Below are 11,754 nucleotides of genomic sequence, written 5' to 3' on the forward strand. Positions count from 1 at the left end.
TTTACAGCAGATTGAGCTTTCCTTTTTTTTTGGAGATGGAGTCTCGCTGTCTCACCAGGGTGGAGTGCAGTGGTGTGATCTCCGCTCACTGCAACCTCTGCCTCCCAGGTTCTACAGGCGTGTGCCATCACACCCGGCTAATTTTTTGTATTTTAGTAGAGACAGGGTTTCGCCATGTTGGTCAGGATGGTCTTGATCCCCTGACCTCATGGTCCGCTCGCCTTGGCCTCCCAAAGTGCTGGGATTACAGGCGCGAGCCACCGTGCCCAGCCTGATCTTTCCTTTTTTATAAGTAATCTATGCCTTCTAAAACATACATTAATTCTCATGATCTCCTCTTTCACGTTACTATAATGTTGAGTAAAGACTCCATGTTTGGCTAGGTGTGGTGGCTCATGCCTGTAATCCCAGCACTTTGGGTGGCCGAGGTGGCTGGATCACTTGAGGTCAGGAGCTCTAGAACAGCCTGGCCAACATGGTGAAACTAGTCTCTACTAAAAATACAAAAATTGGCCAGGCATGCGCCTGTAATCCCAGCTACTCGGGAGGCTGAGGCTGAAGAATTGCTTGAACCCAGGAGGCGGAGGTTGCAGTGAGCAGAGATCGCACCACTGCACTCCAGCCTGGGCAACAGAGTGAGACTCCACCTCAAAAAAAAAAAAAAAAAAAAAGACTCCATGTTTAGAGATTCGAGTTTTTTTCTTAGATCCTTTTTCCTGTACCTTTATCCCTAGCCTCAAACACAAAACACGTGAAGAAAGAATATGATGCCTTAGTAAGAACAAGTAATAACCTAAAAGCACTCACTCCTGTTCTCTCTATAATGATAATAGCATTAATTTTTAGAGCACCAGACAAGTTGTTTATTTCCAGTAGTATAGTAGAGGGAAGGAATCTCAGGCATGGATCAGATGAAAGGGATGTTCTTTCCCTTCTGCCATCCATCAGGGTTTTATACAATTCAACTCCGTTATTTACTCACATTCAAGAAGTTCAAGTATGACTCACATGAAAACGTTCAACATTACATTAATGAGCTAAGTTTTACAACTGATATTTCTGGGAGAAGGTGTTTAGCTTATATTCCGTAGTCACTCTTTTGTGCCCAAACAGGAGAAATCATGCTTCCTACCAAAAGATGCCCCAAATTGCTGTGCCCATGGGCACCATCCTTCAGAAGACAATACGTCTGCAAGAAAGTATGCGGGAACAGCGCACGGTCTTTGAGAGATGCAAAGTAACAGTATTATTCAGTTATTCTTAAGGTAACCACTAAAAGGCTAATAGTAGTAGTAGGACAGGCATCAAAGTAAGCTGCATAATTTCTAACCAGGCAGCTTGAAGACTAGAAGTACGATCACAATTTGATCCAGCCTGGACCAGCATAAATGCTATTGGCTATTCCTCATCAAATTCTTACTGACACAGAACTGGAGACTACAAAACTCACACTCTTTCCTTTACAATTATTTGTACATGCTTCTTATTTTAAAATATAGTCCTTTTAGGTTTTTTTGTACAAAATCTGAAGTTTAAAATTTAGATATCCCTGACAATGCTACGTGATTAGAAAAGTCAGACTCTGGGAATAACAAGACACCAATCTCCCAAAATTCTATCCTAATGAGGTTTCTTTCTGTCAGTGTGCTTTATTTTCAGTATGTCTCTGTAATACTGTTTGGTGTATATCCACAGTGCTGACCACTTCCCTATGTGATGATTTCCACACTCTTCAGCCAATCTAATTTTTCATTAAAAAACTTCCCTTTTTATATGTCTAAATAGGTACTATATAATTTTATATAGTTTTATATATAATAATTATAGATTATGTAACATAATATTATCTATTAGGTCTTACTATATGTAAAAACACCTTTAGCAGGGAACCATGTTAAAAATGTTCAGTTCAAGCCAATGATTAATTGAGAACAGAGGTAATATGTAAAGGGTTGGGATTTTGCATTCATTCCTTCATTTGACTTCACAGCAACTTTGTCATATCACTTCCCTAATTGAGAAATTAATGTTTAGAGATGGTAAGTAAATTTCTCGAGATCAGAGTTATGAGTCATCAGAGCTGGTATTTAAACCCAGTCTGATTACAAAATTTGGCAAAATATAGTTTTTTCTTAAGCTGAAGTAGGTATATGTATTATTAGGGGACTATAATATCTCCATCAAAAACAGTATACAGAAAACAAGCCACAAATATGGGCAAATTCCAGATCATGTGGATAGTTACTTTGTTCATAGTTATTGTGATGGATCCCAATTACTTTATTTTTGTTGCTTATGGATATATGTGTCTAGAATGAGGTCCATGTAAGATTATGCCCAGTGACCAAACAGAGATTCATAATCAAATAGGCAAATGGCTTGAGAGAATTGATTCAAATGTCCTAGGACTCACTGTGGTACAGGTATACTGAACTCAAAAGAAGAGTTAACATTTTACACTCATTAAGAGGTATTTTTGTATGTCTAAAGTTACAGCAGGTTGTTAGTCATAATATATAGTTAATACATTATGACTTATTTATTGTATGATATATATATGATAAAGTTTCGAGATAAAATTTTTCATGTTCTTAATTCAAAGCAATAAGTAAATAGTGATATAAATACAGATTTTAATAATGCTGCAACGGACACATATTGCTGTGGGATTATAAAGCATTTACAGAATTATCAAAACATTCTTTAATAAAATTGACATTGAAAAATTGCATATTGGCAGAGCTTTTTCTTTGATAATCATAAGCAGAAAACTGTGAAGGTACCAGTAACATTTTATATAGCCTTATTAAACAGAACTTTCCTATATGAGAATTATTGAAGTCAAATACAGAAACAGACCAAGGACAGTATCAGAATTGAATAGTATCTTCCTTCTATTAAACCTATAATAATATTTTGGCTTGCCCACACAATCTTAAATTGGTGGTGTTAGTTAAAATTTTAATTTTTTTGCGAGATTTTAAAATTTAATTAACATATGCATTATATTTCAAAAACTTGGTTAAGAACTGTAGGCTTACAGTGTTTAGGTCTAAATTCGTGTTTCTCTATTTTAACATAAAATTATAATAAAATAATATATCAACACTTAATAAGGTATAGAGATCAATATATTTATTTTCTTTTGAGAAACACTGCACTATGCCATACTGTCTATTTTTAAAAGAAAGTTCATGGAAGACTTCTAGTTGCAGCTTCAACATCTAAAGAGCTTGGAAGTCATCACTCATATCTCGACACCACGAAAAAAGCTGGAGAAACTAAAAATCAATGACGTCTTGGACCCATCAGAGAACTGAGGTCTCAAGGAAACTACCAGCCTGAAACCGGGAGAGAGAGGAGATTACAGAGCATCACAGCAGACACCAGATCACCTGCAGCTGATGCCAGTGGAACCACAAACTGGCAGGAACACCTAAGCAGGAATTTGGCAAGAGGCTGAGTATGGACCAGTGTGAGCACTGGAGCCTCCTGGGGGCTGCAGTCTTCAAGGCGCCCCCTAAACACTTACAGGCTTTACTTCCAGGAATACAACTTGGTTCTCACAGTATATACCAAAAAATATCACCTGATGTCCCTGGCAGAGAGAAGGGAAATCTAATGATTTTAAAATATACGTAGAGCATTTCCTGTAACAAAGGCTTACTCCCCAGTGAAAAGAGTTTATCAGAGCGTTATCTTAGCTAGGCAGCTGAAGGGTAACTATTCAATGCTCGCTCCCTCTAGTCTTCCAGCTGCAGTTCAACTTGGCAGAGAAAAAGGAAAAAAAAAAAAAAGTTTAGAAACGCTCATGAAGGTCACAGGTCACAGTCCGGGGACAAGGGCCCACTAAAAGACTGAGATTTAATCAGAAGACTATAGAACACCTCACCCCGCCCCCACATCTCACCCCTCCGTCAACAGAGCTCCCGTATGATAACAGTGGATGACAGGTGAAAGAGATGCAAGGTTTTTTTTGAAAGGGAAGTTTGTAGGGGAACCTAAATACAGTAGAGGCAACAAAGAGACACTACAGGTAATTTTAGCTTCTGACAGCTGTATCTACAGGAAATGTTAGACGTAACCCAGCTCCTAGCTAGATTAATATACAACCTCACACTAAAAGGCAAGTAAGCATACCTAAGACCCTAAAAGTCACACTGTCCTTAGACAGTTAGGGAAGTAGAATGGATAACATATGCCCAAAATACGAATGACTAATTTCCTTGCAAGATCAGCTGTCTCCTGCAAGCAACATTTGACAATTCACCCTTTCCTCGTGATGATGTCTTAACTAAGAAGATACAAAAATGCAAGGAAATGAAAGTGAATATGAGATCACTTTTATGTGCTATTTTAAAAACATAAATGCACATTGCACTGTGTTTAGGGAACTATGGCTTCAGAATTGTAGGAAAGACCCATGTAGTTTAAATGAGTTTCAAACTTGTAAAAGTGTCAATTAATTTAAGCCAGAGCAAAATGCATTAAGCAAATTCTTAACCAGAAGTCTGTGAAATCATGATGGAATGTCAGCCTAGGGGCCCAAATGAGAGAAAAGAATTTATGCTATAGCCAAAAGGATTGTTGCAAGGTGGATACCATTGACTTTATAGCAATTTCATATGCCCGATTGCCTTTTATTCTCATAGCAAACCCTCTTTATTTTGCAATGAGAAAACTTAAAGACTCTTGAATAAATTATCTAGGGCCACCTGGCTAGTGAGAGAGCATGAACTAGAATGTATGTTCTGTGATGTTCTAAGCCACATGGCTCACGTCGCCTTCATAAACATACATAATTGCTTATTCTATACATCTTCAGTTCCCCTCCAAATATCTCCATAAACTACTGCTTAAAGCTCCAAGATGGCCTTTGTGAAAGGGAAATAGGAACTCAGGAACCCAATTAACTTTGCCAAAAGAAAAAAGAATTTAAGTTGAAAGCTGAAATTACCTTTCATTTTGTTCCTAAGCAGATAGCTACAGATAAAAGGTTAAATATCTCCACAGGTAGCTATTTCATGTTCACTTTATCTTATGCAAAGTGTAGATTTAGTGAGCAAGAGAGGAATATATGATTGATTATCCCTCTACCTGCTCCATTTCTCTTGCAAGATGTGCATTGCCATACCCTCCTCCAGTCAGCTTTTCCCCTTTAAATATGGAAGCCCTCAATATCATCTATGGAGAAAGTCACAGACCAGAGATGGTTTCTGTGACTGTGTTCATTTTTTCCAGGAATGTCCTTAACCTTGGCAAAATAAACATCTAAATTAATTGAGACCTGTCTCAGATACTTTTTGGTTTGCACTTCCAAAGCTCAAACCTGTCATTTGCTGTTTGATCTTCCTGCTATCAGAGAATACATGTCTTTTTCTCTTTTGCTTCCCAAATCACTTGGGAGCACCACTCATTGGCAAATTCTAATGTGGTAATGAGAACTGTAAAAATGATTGATAGGGACACTCCACTTAAACACCTGCACTGAGAGACTTCACCAAACTCGTTTTGTTTTCTATTATCTACTCTTCAAGAAGCAATCACCAAACCTTAACAAGGCTTCTAGCAGCTCAAGGCCATATCTCTGAGACCACCCAACCCCCTTTTGGGTTCCTGCCTAGGATAGCTCAGGACTGTCATTGAATTTACTGTTTGTTCTAGCCAATACCTGACAATAAGTCCCCGGACTCCTTTAATAGAACATTTACTAAAAAAGGGCTTACAACATTGAATTATTTCTCTATCCTTTTGAGATGTATATATGTTTCCTATCACCTAGGAGTGTCTTCTTCAATGACCTGGGAGTATTTTTTTTCAAGGACCTGAAAGCCATTCCTTTGAAAAGTAGTCATTAGGAAGGATAAGACTTCTGTCTCCTGGTCTCTGTTGGGGGATAGAACTTTTCTCATTTATCACTCCAGATCCACTCTTCACCCTTTTGTTTTCTCCAAAAGGATGATCTTTTTGGACAGAATCAAATGACTCCCCTGACCTCTGGTTCCTGATTAGGTTTGGCAGACTGGTAGGCTAGCAGGAGATTTGTGAGACAGAGGAGAGTGAATCCTCCATATTAATTACCTAAAAATGAAATAAATATTTATGGTCTAGGAATGTTGGGTGGCCTCTTAATGAGCTACTTGGCTTATACAATCCAAAAATGTTCAAGTCTGCTGAGGAGAAACCTAATTCTCATTATTGTGGAGATTCATAACATCTTAGTTCAAAAACTGTACCAGTTCAAAAATCCACTACTTCTTCAATGATCGGCCCCTAGAGAAGCAACCCAGCATCTTAGCTATTAGGACTGGGGTAGGCAGACTAATGCCCTCCTCACAAAGGTGTCCACATCTGAATTCCCAGAACAATATTACATTACAGGGCAAAGGAAAACTAAGATTACACATGGAATTATGGTTACAATGGGCTCGTTCAGATGACATTAAAAGAGGGAAGTTACTCTGGATTATATGAGTGAGTCCAATTCAGTCACAAGGATCTTTAAAAGCAGCAGAGGGAGGCAGAAGAGATTCAGAGAAAATAATGTAATGAGGGGAAGAATGGCCAGAACGATGCAAGGTTGCTGACTTTGATGATGCAAGAAAGAAGACCACAGAACAAAGGATGTGGGTGGCCTCTAGAAGCTGGAAAGGGCAGAGAAATAGATTTTCTCCTAGAGTATCCAGAAAGGAATGCAGCCACGTTGACAACTTGATTTTAGCCCAGGGTGACACATTTGGACATCTAACCTGTAGAAATATAAGATAACTCATTTGTGTTATCATATATATATATATATATATATATATATATATATATATGCAGCACTTAAGTTAGTGCTGCTTTGTTATAGCAGCAGAATTGTATTAATTTGCTTGGGTGCCACAACAAAATACCTCAGGCTGAGTGGCTTAAAAATCAGAAATTTATATCTTACAATTCTGGAGTCTCAAAGACCGACAGCAAGGTGTCAGCAGCTCTGGCTTCCCCTGAGACCCCTCTCCTTGGCCTGCAGATTCCTGCATTCTTTCTGTTTCTTCATGTGGTTGTCACTCCGTGCATGAGTGCCCCTGGTGTGTGTTTTTAATGTGTTCAAATTTCCTCATCTTATAAGGACACTAGTCAGATTGGAGTGTGACTCACCCTAATGGCCTCATTTTAGCTTAATTACCTCTATAAAGGTCTCATCTCGAAATACAGTCAGTCACATCCTGAGATGTTCAGGGCTAGGATTTGGGGGCCACATTTCAGCTCACAACAAGGGTTATATTATAAAACCTTCCTTGAAGCCATGTCTAGAGGGCATCTCAGTGAGAAAACAAAGCTATGTACTGGGGCTCATTAATTGAGGCTCAGAACTATGACCATCCTGAGCACTATGGAAAGTCTTGACCCAACTGCATCTCATAGTAAATCCTACGGAACTGTAGACCCAACTGGCTGTTATTTCTACAGATACAAAATGCGAACTAAGAAGATATATATTTAATTATTGGCAGAATCCATATTCGTTTCCTGATATATGGAGTGAAAACTCTTATGGTAGAAGGACTAAATGGAAGCCACTGAAACGACCCCTCCCCACCAGGATGGTAATCCGAAAACAATACTGCATCTCTGGGAGAACTGGTGACATAAGGGTCACCATCAAATGTTAATGTTGCAAGATTGCGATTCTGGGGTAATGATATGTGGCTGAAACTCTCAAAATGGGCAACAATGTGAAAACATCCACTTTCTGTGCAAATGTCCACTAGACAGCATCCACTATGTAGAGTCGATAATCTGGCTGACAAGATGACCTATCTGGTCAAAGTCAGTCAGCTTTTGCCCTAGCCATAGCATATGGGAAATGGCCATGCAGAGGAGACTGAAGTGGTTCATGGGCTGAACAACATAGGCTTTTCTCAACAAGACAATCTGGATACTGGTGCTCCTGAGTTTCCAAAATGCAAATAGCAGAGGCTGAAAACTCAGCAAGCTGGTCTGGATACTGGTACTCCTGAGTTTCTAATATGCAAATAGCAGAGACAAATACTGAAAACTCCTGAGATGGCCCAGCCAGTAATCTGGCAGCACAGTGATTACACCTGATCTCTTCCAGGAAGGAATGTTTAATCCTCTATGGAAAAAGTACTTGCTAAAGATGTGGACTTTCCTTTCCTGCTTCAGGGATTACCCTAGCACCACAATGAGCAGACACACTGAATATATCTTCAACAATGATGCATACCACACAGTACTGCTTCTGACCAGCAGCACATTTTACAGATGGTTCTAAGTTTAAAAGCTTTAGGAATTAGTTCTGATGGGTCACGTTCGGTGAAAGAGCCATTGTTAGGCCAGTCACTTCGTTCTACAGTTGGGGTTTTATAAGAATGTCAACTCCCTCACACACAAAAATGGATAGTTGGATTGGGAGAAAGATCCCCAATGCAGGGGAATACCTCAACATTAATTTTCTGCTCTCCTAATTGTTTCATATTTATCATAGCACTGTTTTTTTCATCCATTTGTCTTAACTTTCAAACAATGAAAAATAAATATATATCTTTTCTATATATTTTTAAATAAAAACGTTGCTGATAATACCTCATACCTCACATTTATATATTTCTTAGCAAATAAATGGTTATTATTAACTTATTAACTTCTTCCTTTTTTTTTTGTATTTTGCTCACACAGGTAGACCATTACTACCTATAAATTTTTTGGAATGAAAAGAAATGGAAAGAAACCTTGCATAAATTATCTCATTTCACTCTTTACAATGAAATGAGATATTTTGGGCAAAACAATATTATCCCAGTTTAAAACTGAGGACACCCAGGCTTAGAGAAGGTCACACAACACTAAGAACTGAATTTGAATAGAACCCAGGTTGTTTCTCAGCTTCTTTCCAACACTCTATTATCTGTGGATATGACAGTGATGACTGACATGGGCCATGGTCTTTCGACTAAACACTTGAGATCCTTCCAGTTTCAAATCCCTCCTTGCAAATGCCTTTTGGGGAAGCAGGGTCCATTTCCCCATCACAAGGCTGACAGCACCGAGGGCTCTCTGTCTGTTCCTTGATAACTGCAGTGTAGGCTGTGACCTGGGTCAAGCCAACTATTTAATCCTGCCTGGATTTTGAGTCTTGAAAAAATAATACGAAGATGTTAAAATAGGTAATAAAGAACTCATAGCAATGTCCAGAATGAGAGTCCAGTGGAAGACTGATTATCTCACATCCTGTGCTGGTCGTGCTATTAGCAACCTCCTTAACTTGAGGAGGCTCCGGGCTTGTGTGCTTAGCATTCTTTGCTTCCTGCATGCCCTTTTCTCTAGCTGGGCTCTTCAGCCTCCCCAATGATTTTCTAAGGGATCAGATATTCTTCCAGCACATTTCTTTGCTGCTTACATTAGCCAGAGTTCTTACAACTGTAATACTAATGATACTTGAGGTAACCAAAGAGAAGCCGACATAGAGAAACCGGAGGATCAAAAGAATACAAATCACTCTTCTTTAATTTCCATTGTCCAGGACTGTTTCTGTCTTTGTTCTTTTCTTTTTCAGTTCAGTTGTTATAGTTCACAATGTAGCAGTTTACACTACTCCAACTATAACGCTATAAATGGCATGCAGTCTCTACCACATCATGGGCACTATGAATAAACAGATTCTTACATGAAAATGTGTCATGTTCTATTTCTCTTTATTAGATATGTAATGTGGATATGTGATATGCTTTATGATCTTTAGCATTGATCTATTTTAAAGTATTCACTCAATCCTAAGACACTTAGCTGTAAACATCCTCATTTATCAAATCTATGATAAAAAGAGAAGTGAGAACTTCCTTAATTAGGCTCAGGTGCCTGAACAGATCTGATGGAATCCTGCAGCTCTCTGCAGGACAAGGATGGCATCCAAAAAGCACCCAACTAAGGAGAACAATGAGTATGCTAATGAGGATGAAAGGAAATGGCAGGTTTTTAATCATCAGCCAAAGCGCAGGATACCCCACAAAGGACAAAAAGAAAACACTATCTTTTGAATAATTGTTCAAAGAAGATGATGATTCAGAAAAATAAAAAAAAAAAATGGAACTAACATAAATGGCTCAAGATTGCATTTTTCTTTACACTATAAATGGCAATTCCAGTGCTTAATCTTGAGCCTTTTATTATTTAGATATGAATACAAATTATCTTAAGAAAATTCCTTTGCAAGGCAGAAGCTTTCTCAAAATGTAAATTAGTTCTTTCCTGTCTGTCATAATGCTTACAGCGAATTTACACATTACTTCACATGAAACTATCTTAACCAAAGAGTCTTCTCTGGCTGTTTTTACATCATATGGAAGAGATTTTTGTTTATTTGTTCATTTTATTTTGTTTTACAGTAGTGGAGACTAGTGTATCAAATGTTCCAGGCTAACTTTAAAATCTATAACAAAAACACTGCATTTCTTAAATTTGTAGAATAACTACTAGCTAAGGCAGATTAAGGAGAATTGTTAGAAAACTGGTTACTGACATGATTATATTTACATCTTGAAATAAACTCCTTGCATCCAAATCCCTTGCTATATTCATACAACATGAAAAATCAGCAAGGTAGGGCCTCTAAAATCAGCTAGTAGAAAACTATTTCAATAAAGAAACAGTGTTATTTACATAAGAAATGCATTGTAGAATCTCAATGTTTTCCAGGAACCAAACATTTTTATATTTTATAATTCATTCATTTTTATACCAAAATTTTTTATGAATAACAATGAAGAATCCTGCCTCTGGAATTCACTAATTGTGTGACATCTGAAAACTAAAATCAGGATTAGAAAAGAACCTCTCAGAATTAAGTTCGTTAAAAATATATATATAATCATGCCTGACCCTTTAGTATTCCATCTATAAATGTATTGTAAAATTGTAAACAGTAAACTAAGATATTAAAATTTGAAATTATAAAGCCAACATTAACTCCTCTTCAGTAATATTAAAAGAAATAAACAAAATGAGTTTTAAGGAACTCTCAGAAATGTTTTGAAATATCTTTAAAATGAAATAAACTTTATGAAATTCATAGATTCTGTGAAAAAGAATACCCTTTTGTTATAAATCACAGGCACTCAAGTCATTGTTTTTGTTATTTACTAAAACAAAATTGTGGAAATGTTATTGTTGTATCTATCACTGGATTGAATAAAATAATTTCCTTCTAAAAATACATTTAAGCTTCTCAAAACACTTGAATCAAATGGTGATAAGTCCAAGATGGCCAAACAGGAACAGCTCCAGTCTACAGCTCCCAGCATGAGCGACACAGAAGACAGGAGATCTCTGTATTTCTAACTGAGGTACCGGGTTCATCTCACTGGAGCTTGTCAGACAGTGGGTGCAGGACAGTGGGTGCAGCACACCCAGCGTGAGCCGAATCAGGGTGAGGCATCGCCTCACCTGGGAAGCGCAAGGGGTCAGGAATTCCCTTTCCTAGCCAAGCAAAGCTGTGACAGACGGCACCTGGAAAATCAGGTCACTCCCACACTAATACTGTGTTTTTCCAATGGTCTTAGCAAACAGCACACCAGGAGATTATATCCCGCGCCTGGCTCAGAGGGTCCCACACCCATGGAGCCTTGCTCGTTGCTAGCACAATAGTCTGAGATCAAACTGCAAGGTGGCAGTGAGGCTGGGGGAGGGGCGCCTGCCATTGCTGAGGCTTGAGTAGGTAAACAAAGCAGCCGGGAAGCTCGAACTGTGTGC

At 38.2% G+C, this 11,754-nt stretch overlaps 1 annotated feature.

The window, feature by feature from the left end:
• Positions 9,678-10,182: an enhancer, noted in NCBI's record as "OCT4-NANOG hESC enhancer chr8:16060074-16060578 (GRCh37/hg19 assembly coordinates)". NCBI's record gives its function as "activates a minimal SCP1, AML or CMV promoter by ChIP-STARR-seq in naive H9 embryonic stem cells {active_cell/tissue: H9 hESC(naive)}" and the evidence as "EXISTENCE:reporter gene assay evidence [ECO:0000049][PMID:30033119]".

Source organism: Homo sapiens, chromosome 8 (assembly GCF_000001405.40).
Source record: "Homo sapiens chromosome 8, GRCh38.p14 Primary Assembly".
Classification (NCBI taxonomy): Eukaryota; Metazoa; Chordata; class Mammalia; order Primates; family Hominidae; genus Homo; species Homo sapiens.